The sequence below is a fragment of the Homo sapiens genome, chromosome 15, assembly GCF_000001405.40.
Source record: "Homo sapiens chromosome 15, GRCh38.p14 Primary Assembly".
Classification (NCBI taxonomy): Eukaryota; Metazoa; Chordata; class Mammalia; order Primates; family Hominidae; genus Homo; species Homo sapiens.
The window spans coordinates 21,637,621-21,655,886 of NC_000015.10; the positions used below are offsets into that span (position 1 = coordinate 21,637,621).

An 18,266-nucleotide genomic window follows, 5' to 3' on the forward strand; every position below is an offset into this window, starting at 1 on the left:
TGATTGCCAGTCTAAAATTTGGCTACACTCAGAAGTAGCTTCACATATTGCTTACTAATGTAGATGTTTGGGGGAAGAAGTAGTGCATTGCCAAATTTCAGAAAAAGTAAGTTTTTAACATTAACAAGCTGAGATTTGAGTTTCAAATATATGCCACACTTCATATAGTTTTAATGTTTCCAATTTATAACTTCATCACATACTCTCTCCCTCTTGGTTTATCAGATATAAAATGGGCAACCAAATGTATCCTCGTGTAATCTGTTAGTGACAGGGAACGTATGACAATTTTGAAAGCAGTGATATAACTCTAGGTAAATGCTATGTCTACTAATTATAGTTTCTTAATTTTCATAGCTATATTATGAAAAGAGTAAATTGAAGAAATGGAAACTGCAAATTACACCAAGGTGACAGAATTTGTTCTCACTGGCCTATCCCAGACTCCAGAGGTCCAACTAGTCCTATTTGTTATATTTCTATCCTTCTATTTGTTCATCCTACCAGGAAATATCCTTATCATTTGCACCATCAGTCTAGACCCTCATCTGACCTCTCCTATGTATTTCCTGTTGGCTAATCTGGCCTTCCTTGATATTTGGTACTCTTCCATTACAGCCCCTGAAATGCTCATAGACTTCTTTGTGGAGAGGAAGATAATTTCTTTTGATGAATGCATTGCACAGCTCTTCTTCTTACACTTTGCTGGGGCTTCAGAGATGTTCTTGCTCACAGTGATGGCCTTTGACCTCTACACTGCTATCTGCCGACCCCTCCACTATGCTACCATCATGAATCAACGTCTCTGCTGTATCCTGGTGGCTCTCTCCTGGAGGGGGGGCTTCATTCATTCTATCATACAGGTGGCTCTCATTGTTCGACTTCCTTTCTGTGGGCCCAATGAGTTAGACAGTTACTTCTGTGACATCACACAGGTTGTCCGGATTGCCTGTGCCAACACCTTCCCAGAGGAGTTAGTGATGATCTGTAGTAGTGGTCTGATCTCTGTGGTGTGTTTGATTGCTCTGTTAATGTCCTATGCCTTCCTTCTGGCCTTGCTCAAGAAACTTTCAGGCTCAGGTGAGAATACCAACAGGGCCGTGTCCACCTGCTATTCCCACATTACCATTGTGGTGCTAATGTTTGGGCCATCCATCTACATTTATGCTCGCCCATTTGACTCGTTTTCCCTAGATAAAGTGGTGTCTGTGTTCAATACTTTAATATTCCCTTTACATAATCCCATTATTTACACATTGAGAAACAAGGAAGTAAAGGCAGCCATGAGGAAGTTGGTCACCAAATATATTTTGTGTAAAGAGAAGTGAAAGATAAATTATACATTTTATAGTTCCCCTGAGGATCATTGTCCTAAAGCAGGAAGTATTTGCAGTAATAATGCTGCATTGACTTCCTCCTTTCATTTGTGTTATTAAAATTTTACTATAATTTTTCTCTATTCATTCCTCTTTATATTGAAAAAATAGAGGCATTAAGATGAAAATAAATTTACTCACACCTACCCTGAAATTCCCAACAGATCATTATTAGAATTTGAGATATAATAATCTGCTAAAGTACATTTTAACTAATTGTTTATTGAGTACTCTGCAGAGGCTCTGGCTTTGACGGGAACATGTTGAGAAAAATAAATAAGACATGGAGACGTGTCCATTACAAATATGAAGTAAATGGCAAGCATATGGATGCAGCTAGCTTCAAGTTAGCAAATAAATATTTTTGTCATGTTTCAGTGTTGGCTCAGTGGAATGGTATCTGGTCAACATCTTGCTGGGTCTGGAAAAACAGATTATTTGTCCTTTATCTCCTCTTATTTCCAGAGTTGATGGAAAATGAGGATTTTCCATCAACTTATAAACTGAAATACCTTATAAAGGTATTTCAGTTTATATTTCAGGTGGTGTCTATTCAACAGTTTGGAGACAGAACTCAAAATTTTATCACATTATGAAAACAATTTTTATGAATTCAAAGCAGAGTATAATTTGGCTGATACATGAGATTCATGTCATTCCAGATGAAGCCTCCAGGCAACTAGCAATTTTTGTAGCCAGTCCCTACTTACATCCTTCAGAGTGAAAGCAGCCTTGGGGAGAAAGCTTCTAGGTTGACTGGGATTGGTAGACATCTAGCCGTGTAATTTTTTTCTAAACTATCATCTCCTTTGCCACTTTTGTATGTTTTCCATAATTGCTAATTCTGCCTCTCATGTTAAACTTAAATTGGTAGAGTGCTGTTTTTGTTAGTGCTTAATTCAGAGTTCTTTCCCATTGACAGACCTAGACGTATTGGTTCCCATGATCCCTTAGAGAATTATTAGGGACTGATTTCCTATTCTCAAGCACTAAAAACTCACTCTCCAAGCTTCAGAATGTAAGAGGTAGATTAGAACATTTGATTTTATAGGTTATGTTTTTTACTTAAATTTATTAGTTTTTAATTTCAAAACTAGGGAATCTTTTCATTGAAGGGCAAGAATGCATTGGGTATATTAATCTTTAGTCTTCTTTTTTAAATTTGATAATGTAATATGGACTAAATTTTAAGTGAATTAGATCCTTGTCAACATTGGGAATGAATATATAGAAACAAATGGTATAACTATTCCTAGAGTTACTATTTATTTACAGATATATTATTTATTAATTGAGGAGGTAATTTGTGCCAGACCCAGTGTATCTCAGATGCACAGGATGGAATGGTGGTACACAAAGCTTGTTTTTTGCTTTGGGAATTTTTCCTTATGGTGACCTTCTTCGATCTTCAATGCTATGTTGCTTCTCTTCTAGGAACCCAAAGGCACAGATTGACGTTATAAGTCCTGATTTTTGACTTGACTTCTCATCACCTGGAAGTGAATAAAGCAGTAGACTTCTCTAACATTTTGTAACACAGCATGAAAAAATATAGAGTACAAAAGATATATATATATAATATGATAAAATGATGAGTTACGTTTCTAAATCTTTTATCATCTTACTGTCATTTCTCTATATTTGGTCTAGCCAGACTTCTATTCATTTTGTCACTTATCTTTCATCAAACTAGGGCTGATGTTCTTGGGAAAGGGACCACTGATTTGATATGCTCTTCAAACACCAGCACACTGTACTATATAGAAAGATATTTACTGAAAATACTGAAGCTAGTAATACAAAGGAAAAAGGCATAAAAATAGTGTGATAACTAATTGCTTACTTAAGAATATTATCTGAAATTAGAAACTAATATCAATGAAGAAAAGGGGAACTTTTGGCAAACTCTAGTAAGTAATAACTGAGCCTGATACATGGAGGCCATAATTGGAATAAGGACTGAGAGCAATTTCACCCCTTGGAGGACATTTGGAAGTGCCCAGAGACATTTTTGGTGGTCACAACTGAGGACATATATTGGCATCTTGTACTGTTTAGACATCTTACAATGCACAGGACAGCCCCCAGCCCCTGACTCCCACATGGATTATCTGGCCCAAAATGTCAATAGTGCCAAGAATAAAGAACTCCATCAGGCTGAGAAACTCTGACTTAAATAATGGGCAGGGATAAGGCAGGTTAGTGTAGAAGAAATAGGTGTTAACCTCATATGCAATCTTGTCTCATTGAATATTGTTTCCAAATAGCTCAGGATCCTCAGCAGTCAAATACAAAATATGCTTCAGGACTCCTTTTCCCTATATAACTCCTACATTTTCTTTCAGTTACTTTTAAATGTCTTTTAATCTCTTTTTTTTTCTTTCAGTCTCTCCTACTCCTCTTTCTTTCAAAACTGCTGCTGAGCTACTATGTTTAAAATCAGCAATATCTCGGTTGAGTATATTATCTTTAGCTCAGTATTGTGATTATACTTTCAATTATACACTGACTTGTGTGAAACTTTAGAACCCAAGTCCCATTCATCTTCTGGCTTTTTGCTAATCTCAATATTAACCAGAATTTTATTATTATATCTGGTTAAAAGAGAGCTTTATTGCTCAAACAAAATTAAAGTTCTTCTGTTTTTTTAATTACTAAAATAATATATATTCATTAAAAGTTAAAAACATATGAATATATAAAGAACAAAACAAGTATCACTGGCAATCTCTTTTCTCAGGGATTTTCTTCAACAAAGTTTATAAAGTCTCACCCCTCCAACTCCATTGGAAGCAGACCAGTTGGCCTATCATGCATTGTTCCAAAATATAATTACCATTAAATAGAGGTCCAGGTGAAGACAAGCTACAACATGCTTACATAAATAAGTATAACCCTCAGATTTTATATCCCACAAAACTGGCATTTAAATAAACAGGCCACAAAGTTTTAAATATGCAACAAAAATCTGTGAATGTTGTTTTTAAGACCTCTTTGATGAAATTATCAGAGAACAAATTACAGTCAAACATGTGACTAGGACAAAAGGCTGGGTTTCTGACACACACACACACATATATACATATATATATACACACACATATATGTATATATACACACATATATGTATATATATATATACACATATATATGTATATATATACACACATATATATGTATATATATATATACACACATATATATATGTATGTATATATATATATACACAGTAGTCCTCTTTTATCCATAGGAGATATGTTCCAAGACACCTGTGGATGCCTGAAACCATGGATAGTACCAAATCCTATATATACCATGTTTTTCTTATACATATATGCCTATGATAAAGTTTAATTCATAAATTAGGCACAGTAACAGATTTATAACAACCAATAATAGAATAGAACAATTACAACAATATGCCAACACTACTCTTGCACTTTGGGGCCATTATTAAATAGAATAAGGATTACTTGAACACAAGCACTGTGATGCTGTGTCTAACTGATAACCAAGGTGGCTACTAAGTGATAACGTGCAGGTGGCATGTATAACATGGATACACTGGACAAAGGGATGACTCATGTCCCTGGAAGGATGGAGAAGGACAGCTTGAGATTTCATCCTGCTACTTAGAATGGGGCATAATTTAAAGCTTATGAATTGTTTGCTGCTGGAATGTTCCATTTAACATTTTTTGGACTGAAGTTGACCATGGACAACAGAAACTACAGAAAGCAACACTGTGGGTAAGAGGGGGCTACTGTATTTAATCTAGTATTAGGCTTATTAAACTATAAAGACAACTAAGCAGACGTTGAAAACAGAGATCGTCTTCAAGGGAAAGGCAGTCAGGATAATATCTCACTGGTTTCCTTCCTTCCTTCTTTCCTTTTTTTTTCCTTTTCTTTCTTTCTTTCTTTTTTTTTTTTAAGCAGAGTCTCACTCTGTATCCCAGGCTCCAGGGCAGTGGCTTGATCTCGGTTCATTAAAGTCTTCGCCTCCCGGGTTCAAGCAGTTCTCCTGCTTCAGCTTCTTGAGTAGCTGGGATTACAGGTCCATGCCACCATGCTCGAGTAATTTTTGTATATTTAGTACAGAAGGGGTTTTGCTATGTTGGCCAGGATGGTCTTGAACTCCTGGCCTCAAATGATCCACCTGCCTCGGCCTCCCAAAGTGCTGGGACAGGCATGAGCCACGGGACCCGGCTGATCTCTTTTCCTTAACAACAAAAAAGTAAACCAGTGAAGAGTTATATTATGACAAGAGAAAAGAGTTTTTATCTCAGTGAAAATATAATCAAATAAGAGCATCTTCAGAGCTGGATTATACTCCTAAATGTAGTAACTAGAAATATAAAGTATCTAGAAGAAAACACAGAATAATATATTTGCTTACACAATTGGAATAAGCAATGATATCTTAAGCAGCACAAAAGCAGGTGTAATAATAAAAAGTGATCCAATGAACCTCAAAAAATTAAAAATTACTGCTCGTCAAGATACACTATCATCAAATTATTAAGGAAATCATACACTGGGAGGAAAATTTGGTCTCTCTTAATCTCCCTGTTTCTCTCTGTCTTCAAGTAAAGAAAAATCAGCAAAAAATTTGAACAGACACTCCAGAAAAGAAGATACAGAAGTGATCAGCAAGTTCACGAAAAGATGCACGTCATTACTCAGCAGGGAATGGTCCACAACACACGATCAAGTGTTCAGGCAGAGCGCTCTCCCACTACTCTGAGGAACAGAACAAAATGGCAGAGAAGGAAAAGAGGAAGGGGTTTATCAAGTGCCCCAGGAACATATAACATACTGGAGACTAGACACGTCCATAAAAATGACTCAGTTTCCCCATTGCTTGTTAGTGCTGCCTGGTCAGTGGGCCAGATTCATCCATGGCACTAGGAAGGCAGTCAGTTCTCATCCCCTTCGGACGAATCTTTCTAGAAACTGATATAGCCAATTACCAATACATCCTCACCCTCACGTGCTCTCTCCTGGACTCCGGATGCTCTACCAACATGAAGAAATATATTGAGTGCCTCCAGGTGCTCAGTCCCAGGCACTTGACACTCTAGACTATGCAGCAGCGCTGGGAGGACTCAGCTTTCCGAGCTCCACAATTTTATGTTGGGAGCCTGTGGCAACTACTGACAAAAACAATGTAGCTGCCATCAAGATGTAGTTCTTGTCTGCTGCACTGTTTTAAAGGTGCCCGGTATTTATTTTAATCAGGAATGGTAAGACACACTGTCATGGAAATGACTGTCATGAAGGAAGAAGTTTTTAGACTCACAAATCCCTAGAAATAAGAGGTTGGTTAGGTGAGTGGGGAAATGAGAAAAATGTGGGTAAGAGCCTTTATCATGGTTTCTGTGGAAATAAATGGATGGGGCAGGATAAACAGGTTTAGGATTGGCTAGATTGAATAATTCCAGTGGGCTCTGGAGGATAGGGGCTGTCTCTAAGTGTCTGGCACTTGGCCCTGGGGTGATTAGGGAAGGCAAATAGTGGCCTGGAGTGTAATAGCGCTATAGGTGCCTGATAAAAGAAGCGGCTGGAGTATGGTTTCTAGATTGGTTGCAAGTGAGGCTTTTACCATCTCTAGGAATTGGCTAGCCATAAGAGGGATAGTTCCTCCAGTGTTAGGAAGGCACAAGACATTAAAGCATTAGAAATGCAGAAAATATAATGGCATAAGTAAAACACAACACCAAATGTTGGTGAATTAATTGTTGGAATAACTTGAACTCTCATACATTGATGTTGGGAATTTACAATGGCTAACCACTCTGAAAAACTTAATAGAAACTTCAGGTAATTTCAGGTAGATGTAAACAAACAGCTACCTTATGACCTGATAATCCCATTCGTGTTTAGCTAAGACATGTCTATGAAATGATTTAAATTCGCATGCTAATGAAAACCTTATTGGTGGCCTAAGATTTGAAACAACCCAAATGTCCATAAAAGGATAAAATGATAATAAACAAACTTAGGGTTAAGTATATAATGAAACATTAGTCCGCAGTAAAAAGAAACAACTACAGAAAATGCAACAATACGCATGAATCTCTAAATCGTAATGCTGAGTTTAAAAGCCAGATACAAAATAACACATGTCATATGCTTCTGTTTTTATAAAATCCAAGAAAAGGTAAAACTAATCTATGCTATTAGGAATTAAAAGATGAAAGCTCATTATGATGTTAGATGGTGGGGGTGGATGGCAAAGATCACAAGAAACCTTTCTGGAGTGACGGAAATATTCTTTATCTTGTTTACAATACTAGTTTCTAAAGTGCATATATTTAACACAAGTTACTACGTTGAACACTTAAATGTGTGTATTTTAATGTATATACATTGTATTCTAAGAAATACAACCAAGAATTTATTTTCATGCTTGCTTGTAAATACAGATAAATTTCTTGAAGGATACAAAAATTAATATTAGCTTCCAATTTTGAGGTATGGGGTGAAATGGACATATAGGGGACAGATATAAGAAGGAAATTTCTCACTGTATGAATTATTTTTTATTTAAAAATGTAAATATATTACCTATTCAAAAATTAAATACATTTTTAAAGTCAAGTATATTTAAAGTACACTGCCTAATTTCCAACCTTATGGTAATGCCATTAAAAATTCTGAGTTATTCTTGCTTCCATACCTCTCATATGCAGTCCTTCAATAAGTCCCATTGATTATCTCTCCAAAGTTTATCTTTGGTATAAATTCTTCTGTCTTCTTTTTTACCTCTTATCCTAACCTACCAACATCTCTTATTTATATTAATAGTTCTTCAAATGCTCCCTACTGTTCCCCTTGCCTCCACTTCTTGCATTTTATAGCCCGTTTTTCACTTAGTACCTGGCACAACATTTTAAACATGTAAATCAGGTAGGAACACTCCTCTGCCTGTTACATCTCACACATAGTATGTTGACCGATTGCCATTTGGCCCATATTGGCTCTACCTCTCTATCTTCCCTTACAATTTTTTCCATTTGCTCACTACTGTCTTGCCACACTAGCCTCCTTTCTGCTTCTCAATGCACCAGTCTCTCCCTTAATGAGCTTTCAACAAGTCTATCTTCAGATCTTCCCAGAGACGGTGTAGTTCTGTCATTCAGATCTTAGTTGAAATGTTGCCACCTTGTCAGAAAGGCCCTCCCTGGCCAGCTCACTTGGAATAGTAGCCTCTTCCGCTTTCTCTTATATTTTTATCATAGTGCTCATTACAATCAGTTGTTTTCTCTCTGGTATGTTTGTTTGTTGTCTGTTTCCATGCTTTAGGATGTAAAATCCCCAGGAACAGGGATATTTTCTGTCTTGTTCGGTGCTGCATTGCAGACACTACAATACAGCCTGGTACATGGTTTTAGTTTCTAAGATAGTCTAGGGAGACAAATCTTTCCTAGCAGGAATAACAAGCCTTCATTCTAAGGATTAATTTAGATCATTAGACTATCTTCACTTTAAGTATTGTGGAAAACATTAGGAAGCAAAGTCCCTAACTATGTCTACAATTATGAAAAAATCATATTTTAAAAAATCTTTGGTAGCAAGAAAGACTATAATATACTCAAAAATGGGAATGTTTTTCCATGTGTTTCTTTACTTATATCACTTCTTTTCTGTTTCTTTTAAGAAAGTAAACACTGCACTTTTTAGTTTATTTGGTGTATATAGTTTTACAAAATATGCATTTTTGTGCCTGGCTTTTTATTTCCTATTATTCCATTACTGTCTTTGCATTTGTTCCTGTTCTTGCATTTCTCCCCCCCGGTTTTTTTACCTTTATGATTTTGTGTATCTCTTTCTCCCTTTTTCTCTTTTCCCCATGTTCCATTTTTCCCACTTATTATTTTCTGAATTGGACATAAATTAGAACAAAATATTATTGATTATGCATTATATTTGTTGAAAAACTGTTTATTAATTTTTAAAATAAAAAATCTTTTTAAAATAAAAATAAATCTACTGAAATTTAATTATATTGTGTTCTACTATGTGATTCTTAATTACTTTTCTTCTGTCTAGTAATATTTACTTAAAAAAATAGTTGTCTTTGCTTTAGTGGAACATAGGAGACACTTATTCCTAAAATGAAAACAACAAAGGCCAAGACCACAATAGGGTGTATTTAAGAATACATCTCTTTGTGAGGAATTAGTCCTTCAATATGCAGTTCTCGTCTCCAAGAAGGATTATGTCAAAGAGTCTTTGTGAACATCATTTATTTTTCTTTGCCTATTTCTTTGTCATCAGAAATATGTTGAATTTACCATACTACCTACCTGACCACATTACTTCTTTTCTTGATCTATCAATGATTTCCTATTATACACTTTTTTAAAAAAAATAGTAACGTAAGAAATAAAATAACCTCTTTTGGCTTTCTGCCCACATGGACCTAGTAAACATGCTGACTATTCTGTAATATGTGTCACTGATAGAATGTTGATTTTAAAACTTAGAAGTAACATAGTGACTTTTAAATCATATATACTTCACTATTTATATATAACATGTTTCTAGTCTCATTCTTTGACTATATTTTGTTGGCATTTTAACAATTCCCTTTGAAAGTGTTTGCAGCTTTGTTAGCCTTCAAATTCCCAAAGTACATTCTCCATTGCATCACAAATTGGTTGCATAAGAGATTCCTCTGTGAGAAGAGATATTTAACAATGAAGTCAGGAAAAATTAGTTATTGTTCCTTCTATTAGAAGGAGGTGATATCTGCTGTTTGACAGGAGCATTAGATTACTAGAGAGGTAAATGTTTTTCCATTCTCCATATTTATAAGGAACATAAGGAAGAAATGGAAACATATTGTAACACCTCAGGTGGGACATCTGCTGCCTTGAAATGCAAAGATCAGAATTATAGTGATTATATAGGTTATGGGTTTCAAACTAGAAATAGATTAATATGTTTAATCTGAATTCAGTAATACAGTAGCACCTTTTACCTGGTCTTAATAATATAGCCCCAGTTTCTCCTAATATTTAGAATTAATTTATTGGGAATATATAAAGCCTTTATTAACATTGCCTTGGGAATGTTTATACTTGGTCCTAAACCTATAGCTATTAACTGAAAGACGTGAGGGAACAGAAGTCATATCCAATGCAGAAATGCTAGGCTGCAGAAGAAATCTTCACCAACTTCACGATTTTGCAGGAGACTAGCTCTGTCTAGTTCCCACACCTGCTGGGATGAGAGGTTCTTTTACAAAGAGTCTTACCATATACCAATCTGGGGCTTTGACAGCTGGCTGAAATGAAGCCTTCATAAATTCTTTTCTAGTAATTTCTTACATTAACATAGCTACCTTTACCCCAGCAACTCATTTCAAAGGCAGGGACAGAGGATCTATATTATATATTTACTTCTTAGAAACTAAAGCCCCTCTTAATATCTACATTTTTTCCTTGTTTAGTTTTGGTTTAGTCAGACTTCAATATGCTACTTATTGCTATCATTCTCATATTATATTCATAAATCAACACAGTGAGATAAAATAACTCAGGCTAAGGAAGATGACCGTCCCAAGATCTCACGGTTAAAAAAATTGCACAATGAAGAACTTAAACCCAGATAGATGCCCAAACGAGGGCTTTTTAAATGACATCCATTACTTTGCCTAGAAATCATGGCATTATAAACATTGGTATCAGTTAATGATTTGATGATACTCTAACTTTATCCACATTTCTCAGAACACACAAAAAATTAGTGATTATATAGGTTATGGGTTACAAATTAGATAGCACATATTAATAGACATCACATTCTTATTCTTATTTTGGGAACATTTCTAAAATGTGTTTTTGCTGGTAGGGTGGATTAATGAGAAATTTCTTTCAAGCAGAAAGGTGAATAGTGCCACTTTTATTAAGATCAGTTATAAACAGACAAAATATTTGAGGTAATGGGAAATAATTTAAAAGTATTTACACAGTATATTTTAAGTAGGATACTATTCAAGGAAAGTAATTTAGTACTGAAATATGGGTTAGGTATTTTTAACCCTTACAAAAATTGGAGTGAAGAAACTTCATGTGCTGTCCTTACTACTGTTTCAAAAGAAAACAATAGTGATGCTTCTCAGAATTAATGGGAAGGCAAACATGAGATCTAATAAAGGAGAAATGAATAGAGAAGAAGAGAGAGTGGAAAAATATTGGAAACTGCAAGAACATTGAGAAGTAAAAACAACAAAGGAGAAAAAATAGAAGAGATAAGAGAAAAGCAAGGGGAATCATTAGAGAACAAATACGAGAGAGAAAGAGAAGATAAAATAGAGAAAGAGAAACCAACTTAAGTAAAAGTATAACTTAAAAAATGAAGTGTAGAAATATTTAGCGAGATGGGAGGGGAAGATAATAAAATAAATATTTTAAAAGGAGGCATGAGGAAATATAAAGAAAAATGAGTGAATTAGTGCCTGTGGATGGGAATCAAATCTCCAAATACCTGCTCCATGAACTTTTTAACAAGAGCCTGGACTCTAAACGTGAACAGTGCATAGCGCAGCCTTTATCTGGAATGTGTGTGTGCCCCCACCCATCACTCTTTCCTCTTCTGTGCTGCTCCAGCATTGTCAGGAACAGATGAAATTTTGTTTCTGTTGAAATTGAAATATAGGATAGAGGGAGTGGCAGTCATTCAGATTTCTATTTCAGCTTCCACTGACAGTGATCCTTCTAACATTGTTATGTTCTTCTAATATAGTTAGACAAGACCAAGCTTGTCTTTGCAGGAATTTCTGTGCTTTTATTTTGCTAGGACTTACTTCATTTTACCTAGAGGAATGTCCACCTTATGAATATATATATTTGGTTTCTGGATCCATAATGAGCATGATGTGAGCACTATCCATATAACAAAAGAGCTTAGAGGGAAGCACACAAAGGGAACACAGTGAATCAAAGATATTTGATGGTAGAGGGTTCCAGATGTTACAGAGTCAGTAGGAGAACAGAAGTGGATAACAGGGAATAAAATGCAAGGTACAGTGCAAGAACCTGAAACTCCCAATCTCAGAGATACTTGAAAGTTTCTCCTATGACCCAAATACATCCTCAATTTTTGAAAGAGTATGAAATAACCAACTGCATAATAACATGCAAGATGTACACAACTTAAGAGTAAGCAGAGAGGGATTCCCGACTTTTCTATTAGCAGGTTTTATATGCACAGAAAGACTGATAAATATTAAGGTCAATAAATGGCCAAGTGCCAAAAAAAAAAAAAAAAGAAAAGAAGGGTATGATATGTAAAATTTTATGCTTCTGTTTTGGTTAGGATACGTGTGTTTGCGTGTATTTATTTGTGTCTGTGTGATGTACATACATGTGATGTAAGATACTTTTTTTTGTTTGAGACAGAGTCTTGCTCTGTCACCCAGGCTGGAGTGCAGTGGTACAATATGGACTCACTGCAACCTCCACCTCCCAGGTTCAAGCGACTCTCATGCTTCAGCCTCTGAAGTAGCTGGGACTACAGGCTCCTGCCACCACGCCCAGCTAATTTTTATATTTTTAGTAGAGTCAGGGTTTTGCCAGGCTGGTCTCGAACTCTTGGCCTCAAGTGATCCACCTGCTTTGGCCTCCAAAAAGGGTGGGATTACAGGTGTGGGCCACAGTGCCTGGCCTAGGTACTTCTTTCATAATTCCCAATTCTGACCATACCTGAAAACCTCTGCTATTAATTAATATATTAGGATTAGATATATTTTGAAAAGCATATCTTTTGATGTTTTAAATAGATGTGCCATTATAAATATTTTCTTTGATTTCTTAATTCGGGACTTTATTGTTTTTGTTTCCCTCTCTTCTTACACACCGACTCCTCATTCAGTTAGTTAATGAACCTCTTTCCCTCTACGCTTCATAGTCCACATTATTTTAAAACAAATGTGCTGTGTAACAGAAGCATATGAAATATTTTTCTGTATCACATTGTAGTATTTTGTTCTAGCTCAAGATCTTTAGCTTTTAAATTTTTTTATTTCAACCACAAACCATTTTTTGAACATGCACCAAAAACATACGTATCTTCTTTATGCATTTCATATCCAATTACATCATGATTCTATATAAATGTAAAATGTTCAAAAATAAAACTTCAAACAATAGGATACAATAATGTAAGTGTAGAAATTCTCCTATTATTGCTTTCATACCAATAAATTATCATGCACATCCCCAAGCATGAGCACAGTCTCAATTTGGAAGCCACTGTACAGAGAAGCCTCAGATCTTGTTTTCTCCAGAGTGACTGAGAGCTTTTTATTTAGACCAGTTCATTTGGTTGATGTTCTATAGAGAAAAGGGAATTATTTCTGGTAAGTACAGTTGCCTTTATAAAAGTTTTTAGATAAACATTCCTAAGGTAGCATTTATATAAAATAAATTGTACTAATTGCTGTATAGTTCAATACTCAATAAATTTTGACAAAAATAGATACATATAACCATTATAATTAAAAACGGAACATTTCTGTCCCCTTGAAAAGTTCTGTCATTCTTCTTTGCTGTCAATCCCAGCTCATCTTCCATTCAAAGCAAAACATGAAGTCCTCAATAACTGGGGTTAAGTTTTTTCTCAGTCAGAAAAATTTTCATATGCCTCATACAAATCAGGAACAAATTCAGAGCAGTAACATCCAAGTCTCACATGAGTGAACACTTAAACAGAAGCACAGGACTGAAACAGAAGAAAGAGTGTGGCTTCAGGACCAGGGTGTTGGCTATCATGAAATGAGGAAGCATAAACAGTAGAAGTGATTTCTTAGGTTGTTGAGATAGATAGAATAATATAAATGTGGCATACCTTGTGTTTAGTTCAAGAACTATAATCTAGATGTAACACCTGAAAATAAACTCTTTTATTGATATTCTACAGGCAGAAGAAATGAAGATAGCAAACAACACAGTAGTGACAGAATTTATCCTCCTTGGTCTGACTCAGTCTCAAGATATTCAGCTCTTGGTCTTTGTGCTGATCTTAATTTTCTACCTTATCATCCTCCCTGGAAATTTTCTCATTATTTTCACCATAAGGTCAGACCCTGGGCTCACAGCCCCCCTCTATTTATTTCTGGGCAACTTGGCCTTCCTGGATGCATCCTACTCCTTCATTGTGGCTCCCAGGATGTTGGTGGACTTCCTCTCTGAGAAGAAGGTAATCTCCTACAGAGGCTGCATCACTCAGCTCTTTTTCTTGCACTTCCTTGGAGGAGGGGAGGGATTACTCCTTGTTGTGATGGCCTTTGACCGCTACATCGCCATCTGCCGGCCTCTGCACTGTTCAACTGTCATGAACCCTAGAGCCTGCTATGCAATGATGTTGGCTCTGTGGCTTGGGGGTTTTGTCCACTCCATTATCCAGGTGGTCCTCATCCTCCGCTTGCCTTTTTGTGGCCCAAACCAGCTGGACAACTTCTTCTGTGATGTCCGACAGGTCATCAAGCTGGCTTGCACCGACATGTTTGTGGTGGAGCTTCTGATGGTCTTCAACAGTGGCCTGATGACACTCCTGTGCTTTCTGGGGCTTCTGGCTTCCTATGCAGTCATCCTCTGCCATGTTCGTAGGGCAGCTTCTGAAGGGAAGAACAAGGCCATGTCCACATGCACCACTCGTGTCATTATTATACTTCTTATGTTTGGACCTGCTATCTTCATCTACATATGCCCTTTCAGGGCCTTACCAGCTGACAAGATGGTTTCTCTCTTTCACACAGTGATCTTTCCATTGATGAATCCTATGATTTATACCCTTCGCAACCAGGAAGTGAAAACTTCCATGAAGAGGTTATTGAGTCGACATGTAGTCTGTCAAGTGGATTTTATAATAAGAAACTGAGAAGGAGGAATTCTGGCTGGAATTCATATCATTCATTTAACAAGTCCTGTTTTTCACTGGTACCTCCCATTTGCCAGGTACCATTGTAGGCAATGGAGGAGAGTTATGCATAATGAGAGAATAAACTTATTATATTTAAAGAATATAAAGGAAACCCCAGAGTGGTTGAAGTATAATGAGTAAGTGTGAGAAATTTAAGGGTTAAGTTTTATGTGACTGCAAGGGTCTTTCGGTCTGAGGTAAGAATTTTTTCATATTTTAATTGTGGTAAGAACCCATTTTAATGTTTTAAGCAAAGGAGCAGTTCATCTACAATGCTTTCCTCTACTGGTTAGAGCAACATCAGCAAGATTTTAGGCAGAGATTAATAAACTGTAAAATATCAAAAACCAAATGTATGTTGCAAGTATGTTATGAAAAAGACTATAGTATTTTATATATATATATTAAAATTACATATATTTTAATGTTTTTATATATATTTTATATATATGTATATTTACATATATATAAAATAAGTAATATATTTTTATATATTTATAAATATATATTTTTATATATTTATAAATATATATTTTTATATATTTATAAATATATATTTTTATATATTTATAAATATATATTTTTATATATTTATAAATATATATTTTTATATATTTATAAATATATATTTTTATATATTTAATCAATATATAAATAAATATATATTTCCCCCCCAAAATTTGGTGGCGAGATAAGAAAGGAAGCCAATTTGTTTCATGGTAAAATGTCATGAAATTATTTCACTTATTTTTTCTTCAGAGCTTCACGATGATTATTAGACATTATTAGATATTTAGTACTTCAGATTGTATTACAGATTACATAAATCACTCCAGTTATTTTCAACATAGTGAAGCAGCTTCGTTGTCTGGGGAAATACCTGCAGTTCGTTGTCTTGTGCTGTGCCGATTAATGACACAGACTCACACACGGAGTGGGTTAAGGAACAGAAAGTTTATTAGGCAAGAAGGAAGAGAAGAGCTTCCCCATAGAGAGGGAGAAGCACTCTGAATGGAGTAACCCCACTTGTGGGGAAAGCAGTCAGTTATATTGGGAGGCTCAGGGAGGTAGTGTCTGATTTGCATAGGGCCCAGGGGATTCCTTTGACCAGGTGTGTCATTCACACAACCCATGAAAAGACTGGCCCTCCCACCCTAATCTTTTATTCTGCAAATGCGGCTTCTACCTGGCTGTCGCCATGATGCCTGCACATGTGGCTTTACTTGGCTGGTGCCATGACAACTGCACATGTGGCAACAAAGGAAAGTGAGCGGGAAGAGTCATATTGAGTGGACCTGGCTGTTAGCCACCTGCATTTACTTCTGCAAGCCTGTAATTTACATACCTATGCTTCCAGCATGGCTTTTCAGGCTGCTTTCTGTTAGAAAAGAAATGGTTTGGGGGCTGCTTTTTTATTAAAAGGAAAAGCCTTTCTGAGGACTCTTTTACCCTTTCTAGCTGCCTAAAAATAATTTCTTAATAACTCCTGTATTAATAGTGGGGTCTAATGTGAGAAATTAGGTACTTATAAAATTTTTCAAGTATAGAAGACCATTATTTATGCTGGGCATCTATTATAGAAATTGTTACCAGAAAAACACTGTAGAACTAACCTGCTAAGTGACCTATCCCTGCCATAACCAGGAGACTGAGAGGACAAGAAACCACTTTCCCAGCTCTTGGCTCAGGGAACACATCAATCAGCCATGGTCTGGCATGAAGAGAATTGTAGAGAGCACCTCTCATGTTATTGTCTCTCTAATTATTTTTTCTAAATTAAATTTTGTATGAGTATATTTGATAGAATCTGTAATGGTAGTGGCAAAAGTCTTTGACAAACCTGTCTGTGTGTTGACAGCTTCTTCAGAAAGCAAACAAAAATGGTGGTAAAATATAGGATAAAAAGTTTGCAATCTTGGAGGTGAGAAAGGCCATTGAAGTTTGACAAAGAAAATGAAAATAAAAAGATGTATTAAATCTTGATATCTGCTACATATTTTGATATGTAAAAATGAAAAAAGTTTATATGGGCAAAAGGCAGAAAAACGCTGAAAATATTTCTATGGCATATAGATGTGGAGATTATTTTCTGCATGATTATAAGGTTTGCATGTAAATTGAATATTTTTTCCCTACTCCAAGATTGTATGAGAGGGCATCCATGAATAAAAATTAAAATAAAAATTACTAAAAATCGATATAAACGATAAAAATTTATCTAATACATAAATAATTTGCTTAAATGAATATGAAATAGGTACATAGAAGGAAATGTGGGCAATGAACAAAGGAAAAAAACGAAAAGGCTTATAAGCATGAAAGTAAGCTTACCCTTAAAAATCAACCACAGAAATGAAAACCACTGATTTTGATTAGCATGTAGGATAATGTTGCTCATGTATTATCAATAAAAAAGTACAGAATAGGGTGAGGTGCCAGAAGCAGCTATCATGTGCCACTCATGGAGAGGGAGACAGGGTGGTGAGTAAACACTAGCTCTTCACATGGATCGTCCATGAGGCCATGTTAGGATTCATCAAGGAAGCAACTGCAATCGATGGACAGCAGAAAGGGGCCAGGCAGGAAAGCAGTCCACCCAGGATTGGCATAGAGCCAGGTGAGGCTCCCTACCATAGGGAAAGGGTGAATAAGAACCTCCTGGGACCCACACTTCTGCCATGGGCCTCTGCAATCCTGGCACAGGAGATCTCCCGTGACCCCGAGGGGCTTCCAGACCAACACAGAGAGATTACTGGAGTCTGGGCAGAGCTGCAGCTAGGGTCACCTGGAGCCCCATGAGCCGTGGGGCCCTGAGCACCTTGGTGCCAGCTGCCATAGCCACACCAACAAGGGAGGCCAGCTCTCTCGCATGCCCCTAGAATAGGGGCTGCATCCACGGTGCTGAGGAGCAGACTGACCGCAGGCCCCGCTTGCTTCATCAAGCCAGGCAAAGCCCACT

General features: G+C 36.2%; 2 protein-coding genes and 1 long non-coding RNA gene across 3 annotated transcripts in view; all 3 read left to right on the forward strand.

The window, feature by feature from the left end:
• The window catches only part of LINC02203 (long intergenic non-protein coding RNA 2203), an 87,749-nt gene extending 84,848 nt beyond the window's left edge, over window positions 1-2,901 (forward strand). Inside the window, exons 9-11 of the long non-coding RNA NR_015416.2 lie at window positions 358-410; window positions 619-863; window positions 2,811-2,901. This is a non-coding gene — a long non-coding RNA (long intergenic non-protein coding RNA 2203). The remainder of the gene's footprint in view (window positions 1-357; window positions 411-618; window positions 864-2,810) is intronic.
• OR4M2B (olfactory receptor family 4 subfamily M member 2B) lies at window positions 289-1,372 on the forward strand. Its single transcript, NM_001395296.1, has one exon. The coding sequence runs from the start codon at window positions 387-389 to the stop codon at window positions 1,326-1,328; it is 942 nt and encodes a 313-aa protein (NP_001382225.1). The 5' UTR covers window positions 289-386; the 3' UTR covers window positions 1,329-1,372.
• An 11,322-nt stretch (window positions 2,902-14,223) lies between the features above and the next one.
• Window positions 14,224-15,348, forward strand: OR4N4C (olfactory receptor family 4 subfamily N member 4C). Its single transcript, NM_001365389.2, has one exon. It carries the CDS (start codon window positions 14,315-14,317, stop codon window positions 15,263-15,265), a length of 951 nt encoding a protein of 316 aa, NP_001352318.2. The 5' UTR covers window positions 14,224-14,314; the 3' UTR covers window positions 15,266-15,348.
• Window positions 15,349-18,266: the final 2,918 nt, after the last annotated feature.